Genomic DNA, 23,779 nt, shown 5'->3' on the forward strand with positions numbered 1-23,779 from the left:
ACAAGAGTCCTGATTTCATCAACATCTAGGACTCCCCATAACATGTTAGTTTCAAACAGCCTTTTTCTCTCAGCAAGAGTGCTTTCTTGCCTCTTATCTGTAGCCACTTCTCAAAATGAGAACATGACATTACTATAGCCAAAAGTCAATCTCCTTGTCTCATGGTCACAAGCTAGGTCCCCAGCCAACACTGCTCTCTCAAAAATGGAAGACAACAAAACAGGGCCAGGCACGGTGGCTCACACCTGTAATCCCAGCACTTTCGGAGGCAGAGGTGAGTGGATCATGAGGTCAGGAGATCGAGACCATCCTGGCTAACACAGTGAAACCCCGTCTCTACTAAAAATAAAAAAAAATTAGCCAGGCGTGGTGGTGGGCACCTGTAGTCCCCGCTACTCGGTAGGCTGAGGCAGGAGAATGGCGTGAACCTGGGAGGCGGAGCTTGTAGTGAGCCCCACTGCACTCCAGCCTGGGCGACAGAGCGAGACTCCGTCTCAAAAAAAAAAAAAAAACCAGACCCCAGAGTACCCACCAGGAGAGTGTGCACCTGGTTCACAGCCTCACATCCTTCAGGCCAAAATAGGAAGGGACCACATCTCTTTCCCCAACCCCAGCTTAGGATCCCATCCCTCTTCAGTTTTCCCATAGTAGCACGCTTAATACACAGAATAATAACCATTACTTGTCTGCCTTCCTTCTTAGGCATGGAGCTCCTTGGCAACAAGGCTTGAGAGCCTTTCTCTCTGCCCTTAAACATAACAGCAAAGTTTGCTGAATGATGATTTTGATCAAGTTACACAGTTTGTTCAATCTCTAGTAATTACCTAGGATATACCCTAGAATAACACTTTTATTTTAATGTCAGCAGTTTCTTTAAAGACTCTCTGTTTTTAGGCCCATTTCTTATTAATGCCTTGTGTACACCCTTTCTGCATCACCTCCAGTCTCCCTACCCCACCCCAAAAGAGGTCTAGTAACCAGATAATTACAATGAGATGTTTCTAATCTCCCAGTGCTTAGTCATTCTTTCATGACTCCATAAAATCAGTAACTCTACAATTAAACTAAATACTGTCCCTTTGTCCAAACAAATCCTCCTTTGGCCACTTCAGAAATCCACTGCATGTTCTGAAAAGAAAGACAGAATGGCAAGCTTTTCCCACTATGTTTACTTTAGAAACGCAGTCACAGACCACAGGAAATCTGCCTGGCACGCCAATCACTGCCAACAGGTACGCTCAATCAGCAGTAAGCCCAGACAGCTCATATTGAGAGCATTTTTTAGAGGGCCATCTTCCTCAGAATAGGATCCCATGCCTGGAGGATAATTTATTAAATGAAAAGAATGCTGCTTCTGTCAAGCTTTTTAGACAAAATATATGCACAAAAGTAGAACAATAGCTATAGATTCAGATACATACCAGCCCAACTTCTCCATAAAGAAGGATGGAGATAGCAAAAGATAGTTTGCATCCCTCCTTCCTACTCTCCCTGGCATAAATCATGCTTCCTACTAAGGGAGTTTAAACTCTTGTTAAATCAGTCTCTTAGAGAGCTAGGCACTGTGGCTCACACCTATAATCCAATCCCAGCACTTTAGGAGGCTGAAGAGGGAGGATCACTTGAAGCCAAGAGTTCTAGGCAGCAGTGAGCTATGATCACACCACACTGCACTCCAACACGGGCAACAAAGCGAGATTGCGTCTGTAAAAAAAAAAAAGAAAAGAAAAGAAAAGAAAAGAAAGAAAATGACTCTGTTGATTGACAATTACCTGGAAAGCATATGAAATACTGTGTTTACTCTGGCCTCTCTGATGTTGTTATGTTGCTTGGAACTAAAGAGAATAAAATAATTCCTTCCTTTGTTTCCACTATTAATAATAAATGTCTTCTAAAAAAGACAATAGATGAATAACCAACACCTCAGATAATAAAAGTGTTTACATAACAAGATACTAAGAAATACCTTAAGAGTCAAAATTTACTGGAAAACAAAAAGCAAAGGCCAACCTTCAAGCTGAATCTTTCCCTTCACTGACATCTGGACTATAGATTACAAAACGGACTCCCCAGAGAGGTCTGATCTCTTAGGGCAAGTAACATTAGCCACTACCAAACACTAAAGAGTGTGATGGAGGGAAATATGTTAATACAGATTCAGAGAGAAAGATCAGAGACTTCACTAGTTAACTTCTGGAATTTCTGGACAAGAATTTTCTAATGCTGTTTATTTTAATTTTTTGTTAGAAAAGTAATACATACTCATTGCTCAAACTCAAAATAATTTTTGAGACTAAGAGCATTTGTCAAAAATGAAAAGGCAAAATCTAGACATACAAAATAACCTCTAAAATGAGTATATTTCTCAATTCAAAATTCAGTTACCAGAATCTTAAATAGCTAGTTAACAAATTTTCAGGCCAGGCGCAGTGGCTCACGCCTGTTATCCCAACCCTTTGGGAGGCACAGGCAGGCACATTGCTTGAGCCCAGGAGTTTGAGATCAGCCTGAGCATTATTATGAGACCTTGTTTCTAAAAAAATAATAAATTTTGAGGCCGGGCATGGTGGCTCATGCCTGTAATCCCAGCACTTTGGGAGGCTAAGGCAGGTGGATCACAAGGTCAGGAGTTCAAGACGAACCTGGTCAAGATGGAGAAACCCGGTCTCTACTAAAAACACAAAAATTAGCCAGGCACAGTGCAGGCGCCTGTAATCCCAGCTACTCGGGAGGCTGAGGCAGGAGACTCGCTTGAACCCATGGGGTGGAGATTACAGTGGGCTGAGACTGCGCCACTGCACTCCAACCTGGGTGACAGAGTGAGACTCCATTTCAAAAATAATAATAATAATAATAATAATAATAATAATAATAAATTTTAGGGTGGCGCAGTGGCTCATGCCTGTAATCCCAACACTTTGGGAGGCCGAGGCGGGTGGATCACCTGAGGTCAGGAGTTCGACACCAGACTGACCAATATGCTGAAACCCCATCTCTACTAAAAAAATACAAAATTAGCAGGGTGAGGTGGCTCATGCCTGTAATCCCAGCTACTCAGGAGGCTGAGGCATGAGAATCACTTGAACACAGGAGGCGGAGGTTGCAGTGAGCCAAGATCACACCACTGCACTCCAGCCTGGGCAACAAGAGCAAAACTCCCTCTCAAAAAAATAACAATAATAATAATAAATTTTTTAAAAAATTTCAGACATCCATAAAATGAGCCACATATTATGCTACCTAACTAGAACTTACCCAAATACCATGTGTCACACACAAAAAAGTCCTAAGGCATTGGAAAGATCAAGATACTACCGTCAATCCCTACATTTGGTAAAATGACTTAAAAGGACCTGAGTAAAAAACTTTGAAGAACTTTTTAATACATCAACCAGTAATTTTTTAAGAACGATTTTCTGCAACTACCCCAAATATATCCACATAGATCTATGTTCAGCTTCACAATTCAGTCAATATAGGTTAAGCATACCACCTGTATGGTACTAGACTAGGCACCAGAGTGATGTCCACTCCTCAAGAGAAAAGGAAATTGAGAAAGAAAGAAATAGAACATATACTCTCCTACCCCAAAGGTCCTTACAATCTGTTTTTGGGACACAAACTATTTAAAAGTTAAATAACAACACAAAGTTAAAAGAAAGGAGGGGAATTCATATTTATTAAGTGCCTCATATATCAAGCAGCAACACAATAACACACACAAAACATCCACATCTCCTGTTTTGAGGGAAGAAAATAAGGAAAGAGGAGAGGTTGAGAGAATAGAAAATGAAGTCAAAAACCCAAAGCAAACTATAAATGCCACTCAGGGATACAGAAAATAAGTAACTAAAACATTTATATTGGTCTTCAACAAATGGTACTAGGACAACTGGCTATCTACATGAAAAAAAAAGAAGTCAGACCCCTACCTCACACCATGTACAAAAATTAACTCAAAGTGGATCAAGGACCTCAAAGTAAGAGCTAAAATTATAAAATCTTAGAGGAAAACATAGGGATAAATCTTCATTACTTTGAATTTGGCAACAAATTCTTATATATGCTAACATAAACACAAAGCTTAAAAAAAAATTTAGGCTGGCGTGGTGGCTCATGCCTATGATTATAGGCAGCACTTTGGGAAGCCAAGGCAGGTGGATCACCCAAGGTGAAGAGTTTCAGACCAGCCTGGCCAACATGGTGAAACTCCATCTCTATGAAAAATACAAAAATTAGCCAGGAATGGTGGTGCATGCCTGTAATCTCAGTTACTCAGGAGGCTGAGGCAGGAGAATGGCTTGAACCCAGGAGGCAGAGGTTGCAGTGAGCTGAGATTATGCCACCGCATCCTAGCCTGGGCGACAGAGTGAGACTCCATCTCAAAAAAAAAAAGAATTGAAAAACTTTTTTAAGAAAAAAGGAATCCTTCCTGTAAGAGATAACTTTAAAAAGAATAAAAAACAAAAAAGGAGATAACACAAGCAACAAAAGAGGACATTATCAAGAAAGTAAAAAGACAACCTACCCAGAGTGAGAAAATATTTGCAAATCATATATCTGACAAAGGACTTGTAACCAAAAGATATAAATCAATCATAAAACTCAAAAACAAAAAGGCAAACAATCCAATTTAAAAATAAGAAACAGACTTGAACAGACATTTCTCCAAAGAAGACATACAAATGACCGATAAACACATGAAAAGATGCCTAACAACTTAGTCATTAGGAAAATTAAAATCAAAACCAAATTAAGATACTACTTATATTATAGAATGGTTATAATAAAAATAAAAATTAAAAAAAAACACAGAAAATGACATGTGTTGGTGAGAATGTGGAGAAACTGGAACCCTTGTACATTGCTAGTCAGAATGTAAAATGGTACAGCCACTGTGAAAAACAGTTCAGCAATTGTTCCAGAAAGTTACAACATAGAATCACCCAAATGACGCAACAATTCCACTCCAAGGTATATACCCAAAAGAAATGAAAACAGAGATTCAAACAGATATTGTACAATAGTGTTCACTGCACCATTATTCACAATAGCCAAAGAGCAGAAACAAGCCAACGTCCACCAACAAATTAATGGATAAACAAAATGTGGTATATCCATACAATAGAACATTACTCAGCAATAAAAAAAGAATGGTGTTCTTTTTTATTTTTTTTTTTTTTGAGACAGAGTTTTGCTCTTTTTGCCGAGGCTGGAGTGCAGTGGCATGATCTCGGCTCACTGCAACCTCCGCCTCCCAGGATCAAGCAATTCTCCTGCCTCAGCCTCCCAAGTAGCTGAGATTACAGGCACACACCACCACACCCAGCTAATTTTTTGTATATTTAGTAGAGACAGGGTTTCACCATGTTGGTCAGGCTGGTCTTGAACTCCTGACCTCAGGTGATCCACCCGCCTTGGCCTCCCCAAATGCTGGGATTACAGGCATGAGCCACTGTGCCCAGCCAACAATGGAGTACACTGCGCAAATGGGGCCAGGTGCGGTGGCTCACGCCTGTAATCCCAGCACTTTGGGAGGCTGAGGTAGGCGGATCACAAGGTCAGAAGATTGAGACCATCCTGGTTAACACAGTGAAACCCTGTCTCTACTAAAAATACAAAAAAATTAGCCGGGCTTGGTGGTGGGTGCCTGTAGTCCCAGCTACTCGGGAGGCTGAGGCAGGAGAATGGCGTGAACCCGGGAGGCAGAGCTTGCAGTGAGCCAAGATTGCGACACTGCACTCCAGCCTGGGCGACAGAGCGAGACTCTGTCTCAAAAAAAAACAAACAAACAAAAACAAAAAAACACTGTGCAAATGAAATAAGCCAGTCACAAAAGGAAAATATTGTATGATTCCATTTATATGAAATATCCAGAATAGGCAAATCCATTGAGTCAGAAAGTAGATCAGAGGTTACCAGGTGCTGGGAGACAGAGGAATGGGGAGTTATTGCTTAATGGCTACAGAGTTTCTATTTGGGATGATGGAAAAGATTTGGAAACAGATTATGGCAATGGTGGCACAATAGCATTAATGTAATTAATGCCACTTAATTGCATACTTAATAATGGTTTAGGCCAGGCACAGTGGCTCACACCTGTAATCCCAGCACTCTGGGAGGGGAACAAGGCAGGCAGATCACCTGAGGTTGGGAGTTCAAGACCAGCCCGGCCAACATGGAGAAACCCTGTCTCTACTAAAAATACAAAATTAGCCAGGCATGGTGGCGCATGCCTGTAATCTCAGCTACTCCGGAGGCTGAGGCAGAAGAGTCACTTGAACGCAGGAGGCAGAGGTTGCAGTAAGCCAAGATTGCACCATGGCACTTCAGCCTGGGCAACAAGAGGGAAACTCCATCTCAAAAAAAAAAAAAAAAAAAGGATTATAAATCACGCTACTATAAAGACACATGCACACGTATGTTTACTGGGGCACAATTCACAACAACAAAGACTTGGAACCAACCCAAATGTCCAACAATGATAGACTGGATTAAGAAAATGTGGCACATATATACCATGGAATACTATGCAGCCATAAAAAAGGATGAGTTCATGTCCTTTGTAGGGACACGGATGAAGCTGGAAACCATCATTCTGAGCAAACTATCGCAAGGACAAAAAACCAAACACCACATGTTCTCACTCACAGATAGGAACTGAACAATGAGAACACTTGGACACAGGGTGGGGAACGTCACACACTAGGGTCTGCCATGGGGTGGGGGGCCGGGGGAGGAATAGCATTGGGAGAAATACCTAATGTAAATGACAGGCTGATGGGTGCAGCGGGCCAGCATTGCACATGTATAACTATGTAACGAGCCTGCACGTTGTGCACATGTACCCTAGAACTTAAAGTATAATACAAAAAAATGGTTTAAATGGACAATTTTATGTTATGTATATTTTACTACAATAAAACACTTGAAAGAAAAAAAAACTTTATCAGGTCTTCAGTTATCTGGATTGTCTAAGGTTAGATTTCATATCAGGAGCTCAAATCTAAAAAGGACTGTACAGTCACCTGATCTAATCCTCGTGGAAACCCTAGTGGGAAGTCTGCATCTCTACATCCCTCCTGACTAGTGAGTGGTTTCCAGATGCTGCCAGATAGTGGCAGCATACCTTTCCCCAAGGCAGCCCACTGACCTTCATGAAGGAAGAACAACCTGAGCTGGAAAAAAAAAAAATGGGATAAATGAAAAGCATGCTGAAGATTTTAAAAGCCAAATTCTGCTATTCTGCAGGTGTGTGACAATTAACAAATTATTCAACTTCTCCAAGTCTCTGCTTTCTCTCATTATAAAATGACAATAGCACCTGCCTTTAAATGTTACTGTAAGAATTGGCAGAAGTATACCTCTAGCACCCATCCAACTGCCTGGCAAATGGTGAGTGTTCTATCTCATGGTAATTGCTAGTGTGACAATAGGTCTATGTGCTACCTTTCAGCTAACCAAAGGCTGAGCAGGATATGGCCTGGGCTGGGAGAACACTATGACTTACCAGAACTTAAATAAAACAGCCACCAGCACCACAGAAAAACATCAGAGAAGGAGCTGTTTTTATGCAGTTCAAGTCTCTTAGGAAAGACTGGCTTATTGTTCCAAGAACGAACCCAGCTACTCTTCATTTAGGAAGGCACTGCTACACAATTCATTTTCTCTATACAACAGGCCTCTGTTAGCATGTCCGGGCTACTGTTCGTAACAGAGTCTGCCTCTACCCACAGGAAAGACACAGTCTATGAAGAAAATTCGCTAAAAGGTAGTCCCCAGAGGCTGCTCTCAAACTTGTGTAGCCCCAGAAGCACTTGGGGAACCTGTTAAAAAAAAAAAAAAAACAGGTATCGCCCACACCCACAGATATTCTGATTACTAAATATTTTACACAGGAGCCTAGCACACAACTGTTTAAAGAAACACTAGAAGGTAGGCCACAAAAATGTAAAAAGATCACATTCTGATGTGGACAACTACAACAATCTGTCCCACAAAGCAAAGGCTGCATTTTCCTCTATGCCCATCTAGAAATGGAATAGTTTTGGTCATGCCAGACAGGATTGGAAACCAAGGAAGTAACAGAGACCACCTGCATGTAATACCCAATGTGAGTTTCATACAGTTTCATCATACTGAAGGCCCTCATGATTGCTTATTCTTTTTTAAAATAAACACAAAAAGTAATGAAAAATAAAAATAATGTACCAGCTACACCTCATATAATAGCAAAAAATATACTTAAATTATATTCACCAGAAGTTGGTAACATTTTTGTGAAACTAACACATTCTTAGATTGCTGGGAAAATTACTAAATGGTACGAATTTTTGGTTAGCTAGTGGCAATACATATTAAAAGTCATAAATATGAGGCTGGATGTGCTGGTGTGCACCTACAGTCCCAGCTACTCAGGAGGCTGAGGTGGGAGGATCACTGAGCCCAGGAGTTCGAGTAGCCTAGGCAACATAGTAAGACCCTGCCTCTTTAAAAACAAACCAAAAAAAGCTCATACCCTTAAATTCAATAATCCCACTTATTTGAATTTATCCTAAGGGAATAACACAAAAGAAACTATACAAAAAAGATAATCACTATTGGATTACATATAATAAAAAAAAAAAGATAACTACTCAGACACAGTGGCTCACGCCTATAATCCCAGCACTTTGGGAGGGTGAGGCAGGAGGATTGCTTGAGTCCAGGAGTTTGAGACCAGCCTGGGCAACATAGTGGGACCCTGTCTCTACAAAAAATACAAAAATTAGCAAGGGTGGTGGCGCACACCTGGCTAATCCCAGCTACTCAGGAGGCTGAGGTGGAAGGTCAAGGCTGCAGTAAGCCATGATCATACCACCACACTCCACCCTGGGTGACAGAGCAGGTATCTTTTTGCTAAAAAAAAAAAAAAAAAGAAAAAAGAAAATCTTCCTGTCAAAACTCTCAGGCCAGGTGCAGTGGTTCACACCTGTAATCCCAGCATTTGGGAGGCTGAGGCAGGTGGATCACTTGAGGTCAGGAGTTCGAGACCAGCCTGGCCAACATGGTGAAACTCTGTAACTACTAAAAATACAAGAATGAGCCGGGCGTGGTGGCGCACACCTGTAATCTCAGCTACATGGGAGGCTGAGGCAGAAGAATCGCTTGAATCCGGGAGGCGGAGGTTGCAGTAAGCTGAGATTGCGCCACTTCACTCCAGCCTGGGCGTCAGAGTGAGACCCTGTCCCAAAAAAAATCTCAAACAGTTTACCAAAATTTGCCATATTAAGCAAAATGACAAAGCTATTAAAACTTAAAATTACATATACTATGTAATTATAAGAAAACCATCCATAAAACATGCAAGACCTAAAATTACTTACAAAAAGAATGGACACATGGACAGTCTCAAAGAGTGATATATCGGGAAGTAATAGCTCATGTTGAAATGGTTTGATGTGGTTTTCCTCCACTGGTCTCTCAACTTTCCATATTATTGCTACATTATTGCAGTAAGACTATAAATATATTTAACTGATTCTGCCTGGAGAGTTAATTGGACAGTAGTGAGGGAAAGTCCTACACTGACCTCAGCTATCCTGAATGAAGACAGGCTCACCTAAACGCACCATGCTATCAGATGGCCACAAGGCCAGTTCTAGATTTCTTTCCCCAAAAGATCAATCTTAACAGATACACAAAAATATAAAACCTTGAATTTACTTTTTTTCTATTCTTTTCTTTAAATACTCTAAAAGTAGTATTTTTCTAAAAGCAAGTATATACGCACTAAAGGAAAGGAGGAAATCTGATTTGACAGCTATTGGCATGGCAAAAAGACTAGAAGACTTCAAAAGCCACAACTTCAATATAAGCCAAGATGATGTAGCTAGGAAACAGCATGGTTCACGTGAAAAGGACATTAAGCTGAGAGACAGAAGGCCCAGTTCTCAATCTAGATCAATCAGGGTGAATTTCATTTGCAGACCTTGATTTCTCATCTGCAAATTGATAGGATCGTGATGCTATCTCCCCTACCCATCTCATAAGACTTGGAAGGGAACAAAGATTATGACTGTAAAAGTGCATTAAAAATCATTTTTATCTTTTAAATCTGGCCATTATTATTATGAAGACATTTATTTATAAATCTACAAAAAAAGGGTAACAGTGTGTGGAAGGATACATTCCAAACTGGTAAGTGGGTGTTTCTCCAGGAGTCTGAAATTGGGAGCCATGCCTTTACCTATATCTGCATTGTTTGAATCTTTTAGGAACATCTATTCATCTATTACTTGGGGAATTTTAAAATTTTAATTTGTAAAAGCTAATGATATCACGAATGTAAAGTGCAGAGTTCTCCACCTCTGGCTCATCTAAGAATCATCTAAAGGCTGTTAAAACTGTGGCTACCCAGGTCCCCTACAAATTCCCTGGGTGGAAGATAATAAAATAAGGCCAGGCTGCTTGTATTTTAACAAGGTCCCAAAGAGATTCCAGTGACTTGATTACTGCAACTACTACTACATGGTTATTAACTCCTACCATGTATTACCGACTTAACACATACCAGTCACTATCCTCAACACTTTACACGTATTATCTCATTTAATCCTGACAACAACCTATAGGTAGGTGCTACAATTAACACTGCCCTCCCCTCACCCTCATTTTACAGATGAAGACACTAAAATATTGAGATTATTTAACTGGCCTAAAATCACAGCACTTGTAAGTGGCAGAGCCAGAATGCACAAGGAAATTTGAAAATCATTGGTTCAGTTTCCTAACCTAAGAAAACAGCTGTATATTCTGGTCAGGTCATATCTTCTGTTTTGTTTCAGACACTGCATTTAAAGGACATTAAAAAAAAAAAAAAACAATGGCCGGGGGCAGTGGGTCACACCTGCAATCCCAGCACTTTGGGAGGCAGAGGCAGGCAGATCACCTGAGGTCAGGAGTTTGAGATCAGCCTGGCCCAACATGGTAAAACCCCGTCTCTACTAGAAATATAACAAAAATTAGCCAGGCATGTGCCACCACGCCTGTAGTCCCAAGCTACTCAGGAGGCTGAGGCAGGAGAATTGCTTGAACCTGGGAGATGGAGGCTGCAGTGAGCTGACATCACGCCACTGCACTCCAGCCTTGGTGACAGAGCAAGACTCCGTCTTGGGGGCCGGTGTAGGGGAATAGTTGGGCCAGGCTTCCTAGCACTTTGGTAGGCCAAGGCAGGAGGATCACTTGAGCCCAGCAGTTCGAGACCAGCATGGGCAACATGGTGAGGCCCTATCTCTACAAAACACTTCTAAAACAAAATTTAGAAAATTAGCCAGGTGTGGTGGTGCATGCCTGTAGTCCCAGCTACTCAAAAGGCTGAAGCAGGAGGATTGATTAAGTCCAGAAGGTCAAGGTTGCAGTGAGCCATGACCATGCCACTGCACTCCAGCTTGATCAACAGAGCAAAACTGTCTCAAAAAAAAAACAAAAAAAAAAAAAACAAGAGTTGCCTAAAGAAAGCATGGTGAGCCATATCAAACCAGGAAAGGACTAACCATTTAGGGCTGTTTGCATACCTTCACTATAATCAGCCATCGATTCATGTTATTGTCTCCCTAACTAGACTGCAAGCCCCTGAAGTGCAGGGGCCATGGATGTCTCTTCAACTGTACCCTCTTGGTACCTGATGCTCAATTCAAGAGAGAGTTTAATAAGTAAATTAATCAATAATTCTAGAAGTGTGATATCTGTCATGGGAAATATGAAGTGCTATTATGTGAAGAAGAAACAGACTTAATTCAGGTTCCTTCAGGAAGTATAACTAAGGTCAATACGTGAAAGGGAGGGAGCAGACTGTAGTAGTAATCTAAAAACATTTCTGGCAACCAAGACCTGTCCAGGGACAGATGCCTGCAGTGTGACACTGATGATCAGAATGTAGCAAACATAAGGAAGGATGCTGGACTACTGGGCCTCTAACAACTCCTCCAAAGCTCAAATTATATTAGTCTACATTAGGATACATTTGTTTATTCTTTCATACATTCTACAGTTTCCATTAGTTATACAAGTCACTTAGTCACTTAGTAAGCAACAGAGGACACACAATGTGTTCTACAAACTCCCTGTGCCATCAAGGATCTAGAGAAGAGTAAATGCACAAGAGTGAATCTAAGTAAGCAGGAAGGTGATATATACAACAGGAAGCAGCAAGGAGTGAGGAAACTTCCAGGCAGGAAACAAGACAGAAGTTAACAAAGGTGTTATGGAAGAAATGTCACCATTTGAGCACACCTGAGCTAGATCTTTAGGATCTATGAGGGGAGGTGGGATGAGGACTGTCATAAGAATTTGGGGAGGAAAATCATTGTGTGGCAGTAATGGTCTGGGCATAAAGCCGGCAGAAAAGCCCTGGGGAGGTGAAGAACAAGCTAGAAACAAGCAGTAAATGCCAGCATTTTAGAGGTCATTTAGTCAAACACATATACCCGTACTTTGTTGATGATGCCCCGCTGGCAATGGGTAAAAAAGTTAGTTCATTTTTTAAGATTACATCTTACAAACCAAAAACTGTATCAGCGATGATTTCTACTTCGCTTAGTTTTTGTTTTTAAGACTAACAGATCCTTCCCTTGTTTTGTTTTTGTTTTTAGACAAGGTATCACTCTGTCATCCAAGCTATAATGCAGTGGCACGATTTCGGCTCACTGTAGCCTCAGCCTCCCAGACTCAGGAGATCCTCCCACCTCATCCCCCCAAGTAGTTGGGACTACAGGTGCACACCACTATCCCCAGCTAATTTTTGAATTTTCTGTAGAGACACAGGGTTTCACCATGTTGCCCAGGTTGGTCTCAAACTCCATGCAACCCGCCCACCTTGGCCTCCCAAAATGCTAGCATTACAGATGTAAGCCACTGCACCCAGCCTCTTCTCTTGTTTTCTAGGAAATCTGTAAAATGTTCTGTTTTTAAACATTTAAGTTTTACTTCTGTCTACTATTTCCACTATTTGACAGCTAGATTTAGTTACCAAAAATGACAGTTTCAGTAACTCAGTTGAATCTAACATTTGTAATCACTTAAATGTTTATATTTACCAACAGTACTACAAAATAAAAATCTAAAAATTATTAAGTAGAAGATTATTAAGAATAGATGGGTCTCAAACAGTAAATTTAAGTCTCAGGCCCAAGAAGCCATCTCATTCAACTTATAAATCAAGACACTAAGCTACTTAAGAAAATAAACAAGACGGAAGCAAAAAATCTAAATCTAGGCCAGGCGTGGTGGCTCACGCCTGTAATCCCAGCACTTTGGGAGGCTGAGGCAGGCGGATCATGAGGTCAGGATATCAAGGCCATCCTGGCTAACACGGTGAAACCCCGTCTCTACTAAGAAAACGCAAAAAAATTAGCCGGGCATGGTGGCGGGCACCTGTAGTCCCAGCTACTCGGGAGGCTGAGGGAGGAGAATGGCATGAACCTGGGAGGCGGAGCTTGCAGTGAGCCCAGATCGCGCCACTGCATTCCAGCCTGGGTAACATAGCGAGACTCCATCTCAAAAAAAAAAAAAAAAAAAAATCTAAATCTAAAACCAGTAAACATGGGCCGAGCGCGATTGCTCACGCCTGTAATCCCAGCACTTCGGAAGGCCAAGGCAGGCTGATCACAGGAGGTCAGGAGTTCAAGACCAGCCTGGCCAACATAGTGAAACCCTGTCTCTACTAAAAATACAAAAATTAGCTGGGCATGGTTGTGGGTGCCTGTAATCCCAGCTACTCAGGCGGCTGAGGCAGGAGAATCACTTGAACCCAGGAGGTGGAGGTTGCAGTGAGCTGAGATTGCACCATTGCACTTCAGCCTGGGCGACAAGAGTGAAACTCTGTTTCAAAAATAAAAATAAAAATAAATAATAAATAAAACCAGTAAACAAAATATAACACACTTAAATGACAAACTTCATGTTCTTCTGGCCAATCATTTCTCAACATCCCTGTCAAACTATTTTAAGGGTCTGAAATCTTGCTCTATAAAAAGCAAGTTCCCATCATCTGAACTACACTTAAAGAGATTCTATCCCACTAGTTACTTAAGCATAATACACCAGGCTTCAGAGTTTTACTTGCTATCAATTAAAAAAAAAGTTTACCTCTTTTACATAAATAAAGTGGAATCTGTGGGTTAATTCAAAAGCCTGACATACTAGGAGATCTGGGTTTTCCGTTCTAACACAAATTTATGGTGAAAACTTAGCAAAAGCCTTTTCTGTATTTGCCAATTCAGTTGTAACACAGAGATACAATATTTGACACCTCCACCACCAACAAAGTCTCCTCTAAGGAGTCCTGACTTTGGTTAACCTTACCTGGGAGAATTAAAAGCTATGGCTGAAAACTCCTTCATAAAAACTAAAACTTTAGAAGTCTAAAATGGTGTTACAAGGTAGCCCATAATAAACAATGAATTATAGAAACTGAGATTTCAGTAACAACTGCTAAAAAGGTGTATTACACAATTTAACAAGATAACCAGATCATCAAAATTTAAATTTCTTAACAAATGTAAAAAATAAATAATATTCAATACTCTGAGGCACTGTGCTACTTTTTATCTATATGGTCGCAACATCAATGTTGCTATTCTCCCAATCCCTTGATGAGCAAACGGAGCCAATATCCAGGATCCCTCATATCGAGAGGTCAGTTACCGTCGTAAATAATCGTAGTAATAAAAACAATTTCTAATGCCAGAATTGAAAACGGACTGTGGCACCCAAATAGGGTCCAAGGTACATGGCGGCATGAAACTATTTCTCGCTTCTGACTCTTCTGCATCACGGTCTCCCAAAGGACTAGAGAATCTGAAGCTCTCATTGCCACATCTACAAATGAAAGTATCATGTTTAAAGAGCTCACAGGTTCTACGAATGGTCAGTATTTAATGAACGCACCCCACTACACAGAAACTCACCCAGCTGCAAACTCAGCTGCAAACTCACCACAGCGTGCTTTCAGACTCCACATTAATTTTTTTTAATTTTAGAAGCAAACAACTATTTTAAAAATATTATGTAATAATTTAAACTCTGGAAAGCCCCATACTCATCCCAGCAGCTCGGAAAACGGAAAGCAAAATTCGATTAGCTCCATTGTACCTAGCCAGGCTAACGTGCAAGATCACACACTCATCTTCGTCAGAGCGTCTCTGCCAATACCAAAGAACAACAAAGGCAAGTTGAGAAGTCTGCACAGGCTTAACTCAGCACTTGTTCGCTTTCCCAGCTTCAGAAAGAAGCTCTTCGAAGGCCCCGGGAACCAAGGGGACCTTGTGCATCCCATCAAGCCGGCCGCTCCGCTCGGCGCCGCTCGCGCAGCTTTTGTCTGGCCCGGTTGGGAGCCCAGGACGGGAGCCCGGGCCGCCCGCCTCCCGGCACCCCTTCTCTCTGGATCTTTCTTCACACCCATCACTCGCCAATGACTAGTTGTTGTGGGTTTCTCTCCCTCGCCCCCTCCCTTCCTTTCAAACGCGCCCCGGGCTCGCTGGCTTCTCCCACCCGGCAGGGGAGACTCGGGTTAGGAAGGGGGCCCGGGTGGGGTCTGGAAAAGGGAAACAGAGAGGGGCACACAAAGCCCGACTGACCCCAGGGCCGATCCCCTCCCTCTGCAAAGCAGCCTGGGCTCAGCGACCTACTGGTTGGATAAACAACCCTCGCATCCCGCTCCTCGCCAGGCTCCCACCTCAGGGCCGCCCCATCCCCCCAAAGTGCACCCAAGAGCCGATGACAGCGCTGGACATCGCCCCCACCCAGACCCGGCGCCCGCCACTGCGCGGGAGGGGCCAGGGCCGCGAGAGGGCTCGGGTCTGACCCTCCGCCCCCTGACCGGGTACTTACAGCCCTGTTTTTCGTTACTGTTGCCGCTGCGGACCAGAGAGCCGCCGCCTTCTCCTCCACCCCAATGAGGTTAAGCGCTTGGTGCGGGGATTAAAAAAAAAAAAAAAGAAAAAAAAAAAAAAGACCGAGAGAGCGAGAGAGACGCCGAGGGCGCCTGCGCAGTGCGGTCACCCTTTTTCTTCTTACCGCCACCAACCCGGGTACACCATAGAGAGCGTAAACCGAGACCAGAGAGGCGGCTGCCTCTCTATGGTAACGCCCCGCGCAGGCGCTGGCCTGGCCGTGTTAGGCTTCGCTGGCGTAAAGTCCCCGGGAGCTTTGCCCCTCACGGAGAACGTTAGTTGACCCTGATGGGGACCCGTAGGGTAAAGGTTTTGTTTTTGTTTTTTTTTACGGAAAAGGTTGTGGTTAGGCCCCTTGGAAAGTTGCGACAAAACTCGAGTTAGACAAGGAAGGTCGGAACTAAGTGGCCACAGCAACAATGCACCAGCAAGCAGGGAGCGTGATAGGAAGAGCTAAAGAGGAATCGGGAAACCCTGGGTAAAAGTCGTCCAAGTGGAACTTCCTTTGGTCGGGGGTCTGATACTCGAAGGAAACGGTCTTTCACTTCTGGGTTAGGGCGTCCGCCCAGAGGGCGACTGCAATGAAGGAAATTGTGCCCTGCGACTTCCCGTAACAGAGCTGTGTGTCCACGCTCCCTTTTCCGAGCAGGCGCGGACGCTTGTGCCGGAAGTAAACTTGTTAACGGTTCTTTGCCTTTTGGGGAGGGGAGACAGCCCAGAGAAGGCTTTGGAGACCCTTGAGTCGGCCAGCGAGCAGGGTTTCTTACTTGAGCGCCTCCACAAATAAACGCTCCTTCGCTCCTCCGTCGCGTGCGTTTCCCTGGGATAATAAGTGGGAAAGTGGTGGCTTTTATTTTTTTGAGACAGGGTCTCACCGCCGTCGCCCAGGCCGGATGGAGTGCAGTGGCGCGATCACGGCTCACTGCAGCCTCGACTTCCCAGGCTCAGGTGATCCTCCTGCCTTAGCCTCCCGAGTAGCTGGAATTACAGGCGTGCACCACCCCCCCCCAACTACTTTTTGTATTTTTTTGTAGAGATGGGTTTCACCATGTTTCCCAGCCTTGTCTCAAACTCCTGACCTCAAGTGATCCGCCGTCTTGGGTCTTCGAAAGTGCTGGGACAGCAGGAGTGAGCCACCGCATCTGGCCCGGAAAGTGTTTTGGAGCGTAGAAAAATGCAAATTATAGGGCTGCCTTCAAGGATCCCGAAGGACCCACAGATTTGCCGCATCAGGCTCCTATGCACGCCGGTAATTTGATGTGTTGAGATGCACTGCCCAGTGCGTTGTTTTTACTGGAGGAGCTTGTGTGCGGAGCTCCTTGCTAGTGTATGTGTTGGGATGGGAGAGAAGTGCGGGAGAACTATGAGATAATGCCCCCTGATCCTCAGGGTCTTAGGAGGTATGGTCGGAGAGGCTAAGCTAAAGTATGAAAGCCGTGTGTAGGCCCTTCTGTGTAGTGCAGAAAAGGTAGAGGTATGTGATTTGAAAGAGTAGGGATGACATGGAGGATGCGACTCCTGGTTGGATCTATAAACTAATGTCTTTGGAACGAAAGCACATGCAACCTTTTGAAAATGGATGGGTGATAATGAAAGACCATTCCAGAGAAGAAACACCATGGTGCAAAGGCTCAAGAGGCATACTGGAAGTACAATGAAGAGAGCAATCTAACTGAAATGGGAAAAAAAGAAACAAAGAGTAAAAAGTAAGATTTGATGAGAAAGATGGAATCGATTTTTAAATTTTTTTATCTACACAACAAAATTTATTATCTTAACCATTTTTGAGTGAATAATTCGTTAGTATTAAGTATATTTACCTCGTGCGGCCAGTCTCCAGAATTCTTTTCATCTTGCAAAACAAACCCCGAACCCATTAAACAATTTCTCATTCGCCATTTTCCAGCTAGCCTTGGTAACCTCCATTCTAGTTCTGTCTCTGTGAATTTGACTGTGTACCCCGTGTAAGTGGTATCATACAGTATTTGTATTTTTGTGACTGGCATATTTCACATAGCATAATCTCCTTGTGGTTTATCCATCTTGTAGCATGTGTCAGAATTTCCTTCCCTTTTAAGACTAAATAATATTCCATTGTGTGTATATACCACTTGTGTTATTTCCACCTTTTGGTTATTGTGAATAATACTGCTTCAAACATGAGTGTACAGATAACTCTTCAAGATCCTTTTAGGGTAATACAGAGATAGTAAGTTATCTTGATTGTTCACTGCCAGTTACAGACCAAACTCCTTGTTCTCCTTGTGCTCCACTTCTCAACCACTGCACTTGGCTAGTCTTAAACAAAAAAAGAAAAACCCTAATTTTAATAGCTTGTGGGGACAGACGCAGTGGCTCACGCCTATAATCCCAACACTTTGGGAGGCCGAGGTGGGTGGATCACTTGAGGTCAAAAGTTCGAGACCAGCCTGGCCAATATGGTAAAACCCTGTCTCTACTAAAAATACAAAAATTAGCCGGGTACGGTGGCACACACCTGTAATCCCAGCCACTCAGGAGACTGAGGCAGGAGAAATGCTTGAACCCAGGAAGTGGAGGTTGTGGTGAACGGAAATTGCGCCGCCGCACTCAAGCTGGGCGACAGCGAGACTCCGTCTCAAAAATTAGTATTAATAGAATGTGGGAGATTTTGAAACCAAGTATAGAAATTCATACTTTATATTGTTTAAGGTCCGTGACTAGGCATAGTAACATGATGAAAGAACTGTTTTGGGTTTGTTTGGTTTTTTTCCGAGACAGAGTCTCACTCTGTTGCCCAGGCTGGCGTGCAGTGGTGCGATCTCGGCTCACTGCAACCTCTGCCTCCCTGGTTGAAGCGATTCTCTTTCCTCAGCCTCCTGAGTAGCTGGGACTACAGGCACATGCCACCACGCCCAGCTAATCGTTGTATTTTTAGTAGAGGCGGGGTTTCACCATGTTGGCCAGGATGGTCTCGATCTCTTGACCTCGTGATCCAGCCTCCCAAAGTGCTGGGATTACAGGCAGGAGCCACCACGCCCAGCTAGAAAGATCTGTTTCAGAAAGCAACTCTGGCAGTGGAAGCTGAATACATACTCCATTTCTATAAAGCATTTATGGAGGCCTCTAGATGTGCCAGGCATTGTACTACTGCTTTATGTAAATTATTGATGGGTCCGCGAATCCATTAATATAAATGTGAGCCAGTTGTTGTGCACCCCAATTTACAGGCAAGAAAATCAAGGTTCTGAGTTGCAGATGGGCTGAGAAAAGGCTCACCAACCACATGTACGCACAAGAGATTAGGAAAGAAAACTGCCATTGGAGCCAGGCTCCAGTAAGCACTGAGTATTCATTGGTTTGGATGAGGATACTGAAAGAAAAAAATGACATGTAAGAGTGACTTTTCTCAGGAGAAAGAATAGGCTGACATCAAGAGTCTTTGCTGTCACATTAGTGGTATGTATAAGGGCACAACACAACAGAAGTACATTTTTCAAGGTTCGTAAAAGAACCCTGGGGTTTGCTTTTAGGTTTGTTTATTACCTTTAACAAATATAAAATGCCAGGTAAATATATCTTTGTATGTAGTAGAGAAATTAATAAGACATACCCTTCCCTACTCAACATTTCATCTTTGATTTTATATTCTCAAAAATATTGTGAGGTCTTTTAAGGAAATGATCTCCTTTTGGCAGATGAGGAAATTGAGGGCCAGAGAGGAAAAATTATCTTCCCAATGCCACATGCCTAATTGGTCTCAAAGCTTTGACTGGAACCTGAGCCTCCAGAATTGCTGCTATGCTTTCATCTCCCTTAGAGAGATAGATAACAGTAGTCAGAGTGAGTGGACAATTCTTCTATTCAGTCAGTCTGATCTTCCTCAGGGATGCATATCCAGACTCCCATGCAGCTAGTGATAGTTAAACAAAGAGGCAGAGAATATAGTGCATTATAAATAGCATTCATACACTCAAAAATATTGTGTGCCGATACTGTGCCAAACACTTAGCAAAGCAGGGAAAAATCCCTGTCCTCATAGCAGAGACTAAAAATATTAATAAGTAAAATATATACTAAGACAGGTAGGATAAGTGTTGGCAAGAAAAAGTGAAGCAGTGAGAGGGGAATAGGGTGAGCCGAGAGTAGGGAGGGAGGTTTTTGTTTATACCAGAGGCAGAGGAGCCCCACTGAGAAGGCAAACTGTACAAAGATCTAAAGGAGGCAAAGGAACAAGAAATGTGCCTTGGGTGGACAGGGAACATTCTGGGTGGAATAACAAGTGCAGAAATCATTAAGGCAGAAAGATGCCTACTACATTCTGAGAACAGAAAGCAGTCCAGAGTGATAGAAGCAGAGTACAGGAGGGTAAAAGTAGGAAATGAAGTCAGAGAGGTAAGAGGAATTCAAATTGGGCATGGACTTACAGGCCATTGTAAGGACTTTGGCTTTTTCTGAGGGAGATGGGAAGCCATCGTTGAGTAGAAAAATAGTGAAATTCTACTTATATATTTAAAGAATCACATTGACTTCTAGTTTGACACTAGATTATTGAGGAGCAAGGGGGACCACTTAGGAAGCTATTGTAATACTCCAGGTGAGAGATAAGTGGCATAGAAAAGGTGCAAGCAGTGGAGGGATGAGGTATCTGGATATATTCAGGGTGGCACACAGGATTTGATGACAATTTATATAGGATATGAGAAAATGAAGGGAGTCCAAGGTGACTACGATTTTTGGCCTGAGCATTTTGAAGAATGGTGTTGTCATTTACTGAACTGGGAAAGATGGAGGAGCAGGTTGGGGATGGGAAGAGATAAATTCCATTTTGGGCCAGGCAGGGTGGCTCACACCTGTAATCCCAGTACTTTGGGAGGCCAAGGCAGGCAGATCGCTTGAGCTCAGGAGTTCAAAACCAGCCTGGGTAACATGGTAAAACCCCATCTCTACAAAAATTAGCCAGGTATGGTGGCAGATGCCCATAGTCTCAGCTGCTTGGGAGGATCACTTGAGCCCTGGAGGTGGAGGTTGCAGTGAGCCAAAATGGCACCACTGCACTCCAGCCTGGGTGACAGAATGAGACCCCGTCTCAAAAAGACAAACAAAAATTCTGTTTTGGAGCTTAAATTTGAGATGCCTGTTAGAATGCCACATGAAAATATTAAGAAGAGAGTTAGATATGTAGGAGTCTGGAATTTAGAAATGTCCAGACTGGAGATGTAAATTTGGGAGAGAGCATGTAGAGAGTATTTGAAGCCATGAAATAATCTACATATAAAGTGTAGACAGATGTTTGAGAAAGGTATCTTAGGCACTGAAACAGGAGGAAACCAGGAAAAGAATCCCAGTTGAACTGGGTGGGGAGGATGGCTCAAGGAAGAACAACCATGTCAATTGCTGGGTTCTAACTGGCCACTGCTTATGATAGTGGAGTAGTAAGGATAAAAGCCTGATTGGAATGGATTTAGAATAGTGGGAACGGAATTGGAGAGAGGGAGAATAGATAATTTGGGTATGGAGTTGGTTGTAAGGATAGCGGGTAGAAAAGTGATAACTGCAAGGGGTCAAGACAGTGGTTTTAAAATTACTTCACAAATTTTTTAGTATTTCTAAAAGAATTCTTTTTTTAATAAATATAACTTCAGACCGCTATTGTTCCTTTGTATCAACTACCCTGTTATTCAAATTAACCCAACTGTCTTATAAAATTTTTTGCTACCAGCTTTATTGAGATATAATTCATATACCATACTATTCACTCATTTAAAGTATACAATTCAACAACTTTAGTGCATTCAAAGAGTTGTGCAGGGTGGGCGCGGCAGCACATGCCTGTAATTCCAGCACATTGGGAAGCCAAGACGAGGATCATTTGAGCCAAGGAGTTCGAGCTCAGCCTGGGCAACATGCAAAACCACTTCTCTACAAAAATTAGCTAGGCGTGGTGGTGTGCGCATGTAGTCCCAGCTACCTGGGAGGCTGAGGTGGGAGGATTACTTGAGCCCAGGAGGCAGACATTGCAGTGAGCGCCACTGCACTCCAGCCTGGGCAACAAAGTGAGACCCTGTCTCAAAAAAAAAAACAAAAGTTGTGCAACCACCATTACAATTTGTTTTAGGACATTTTCAGCACCCCAAAAAGAAACATTACTATGCACTTAGGGTGATAATGATGTGTCAGTGTAGGTTCATCAATTGTAACCACTCCGGTGAGGGATGTTGATAATGGGGTGACTGATTTTGATTTGCTGTGTGTGTGTGTGTGTGTGTGTGTGTGTGTGTGTGTGAGAGAGAGAGAGACAGGGTCTCACTCTGTCACCCAGGCTAGCATGCAGTAGCACAATTACAGCTCACCACAGCTTCAACCTCCCATCGCAGCCTCCTGAGTAGCTGGGACAACAAACGCGCACCACCATGCCTAGCTAATTTTTGTGTTTTCTGTAGAGACAGGCTTTCACCATGTTGCCCAGACTCGTCTCGAAGTCAGCTCAAGTGAACCCCTGCCCTGGCCTCCCAGAGTGCTGAGATTACAGGCCTGAGCCACCATGCCTGGCCAATTTGCTTTTTTTTTTTTTTTTTTTTTGAGACAGGTCTCGCTCTGTTGCCCAGGCTGGTGTGTGTGCAGGCTGGCACAATATTGGCTCACTGCAGCCTCCACCTCCTGGGCTCAAGCGATCCTCCCACCTCAGCCTTCTAAGTAGCTAGGACTACAGACATGTGCCACCATGCCTAGCTAATTTTTTTAATTTTTTTGTAGAGACGGGATTTAGCCATGTCACTCAGGCTGGTCTCAAACTACTGGGCTCAAGTGATCCTCTCACCTTGGCCTCCCAAAGTGTTGGGATTACAGGTGTGAGCCACTGCACCCAGTAGATCATGTGTTTTTTATTCTTTGTTAATATGGGCCATTACATTGCTTTTATGAATTCCCAGAGCAAATCTCACTTGATTATGATGTATAATCCTTTTTATATGTCACTGAAATTGATTTGATAGTATTTTGTTGAAGACTTTTGCATCTTTGTTAATAAGAGCTATTGAGGCAGGGCATGGTGATGAATGCCTGTAATCCCAACACTTTGGAAGGCCAAGACGGGAGGATTGCTTGAGCTCAGGAGTTGAAGACAAGCCCAGGCAACACATTGAAACCCTGTCTCTACAAAAAATACAGACATTAGCTGGGCATGATGATATATGCCTGTAGTTCCAGCTACTTGGGAGGCTGAGGCGGAAGGGTCACTTGAGCCCTGGAGGTCAAGGCTGCAGTGTGCCAAAATTGCACCACTGCATTCCAGCCTGGGCAACAGAATGAGACCCTGTCTCAAAAAATAAATAAGTAAATAAGAGATATTTGTCTCTAATTTTCTTGTGATGTCTGATTTTGGTATCAAGATAATACTGGCCATATAAAATGAGTTGGGAAATGTTCCCTCCTCATCTATTTTTTCAAGAATTTGTGAAGTTTTGCATTCATTATTATTACTTTTCTTTTTTGAGACAGAGTCTCACTCTGTCACCCAGGCTAGAGTGCAGTGGCACCATCTTGGCTCACTGCAACCACCTCTGAGTTCAAGCGATTCTCGTGCCTCAGCCTGCCGGGTAGCTGGGACTATAGGTGTGCGCCACCAGGCCCAGCTAATTTTTGTATTTTATGTATTTATTTATTTATTTATTGAGATGGAGTCCCACTCTATTGCTCAGGCTCCTAGGCTGGAGTGCAATGGCGTGATCTTGGCTCACTGCAACCTTCACCTCCCAGGTTCAAGCAATTCTCCTGCCTCAGCCTCCTGAGTAGCTGGGATTACAGGTGCGTGTCGCCACGCCTGGCTAATTTTTGTATTTTTAGTAGAGACGGGGTTTCACCGTGTT

At 43.0% G+C, this 23,779-nt stretch overlaps 1 protein-coding gene and 1 long non-coding RNA gene across 39 annotated transcripts in view, besides 3 other annotated features; one reads left to right on the top strand and one right to left on the bottom strand.

Moving 5' to 3' along the window:
* Positions 1-15,961, bottom strand: part of CLASP1 (cytoplasmic linker associated protein 1) — a 311,687-nt gene extending 295,726 nt beyond the window's left edge. For 34 of the 36 annotated variants that reach the window (XM_047443792.1, XM_047443782.1, XM_006712383.2 and 31 more), the window contains exon 1: positions 15,871-15,961. The gene's annotated coding sequence lies outside the window, so the exon portion shown is untranslated. Of the gene's footprint in view, positions 1-15,132; positions 15,183-15,236 lie in introns of all 36 variants that reach the window. The other 2 variants (XM_047443777.1, XM_047443793.1) reach the window with 2 other exon arrangements.
* Positions 14,915-15,543: an enhancer, noted in NCBI's record as "H3K27ac hESC enhancer chr2:122405992-122406620 (GRCh37/hg19 assembly coordinates)". NCBI's record gives its function as "activates a minimal SCP1, AML or CMV promoter by ChIP-STARR-seq in primed H9 embryonic stem cells {active_cell/tissue: H9 hESC(primed)}" and the evidence as "EXISTENCE:reporter gene assay evidence [ECO:0000049][PMID:30033119]".
* Positions 15,544-16,170: an enhancer, noted in NCBI's record as "NANOG-H3K27ac-H3K4me1 hESC enhancer chr2:122406621-122407247 (GRCh37/hg19 assembly coordinates)". NCBI's record gives its function as "activates a minimal SCP1, AML or CMV promoter by ChIP-STARR-seq in primed H9 embryonic stem cells {active_cell/tissue: H9 hESC(primed)}" and the evidence as "EXISTENCE:reporter gene assay evidence [ECO:0000049][PMID:30033119]".
* NIFK-AS1 (NIFK antisense RNA 1) overlaps positions 16,153-23,779 on the top strand; it is a 78,907-nt gene continuing 71,280 nt past the window's right edge. The window contains exons 1-3 of one of the 3 annotated variants that reach the window (NR_037856.1): positions 16,488-16,602; positions 16,800-16,880; positions 16,967-18,037. This is a non-coding gene — a long non-coding RNA (NIFK antisense RNA 1). Of the gene's footprint in view, positions 16,881-16,966; positions 18,038-23,779 lie in introns of those variants that run through there. The other 2 variants (NR_037857.1, NR_037858.1) reach the window with 2 other exon arrangements.
* Positions 16,202-16,471: an enhancer, noted in NCBI's record as "active region_16469". NCBI's record gives its function as "activates an Ori minimal core promoter by ATAC-STARR-seq in GM12878 lymphoblastoid cells {active_cell/tissue: GM12878}" and the evidence as "EXISTENCE:reporter gene assay evidence [ECO:0000049][PMID:35858748]".

Source organism: Homo sapiens, chromosome 2 (genome assembly GCF_000001405.40).
Source record: "Homo sapiens chromosome 2, GRCh38.p14 Primary Assembly".
In the NCBI taxonomy this organism is placed as follows: domain Eukaryota; kingdom Metazoa; phylum Chordata; class Mammalia; order Primates; family Hominidae; genus Homo; species Homo sapiens.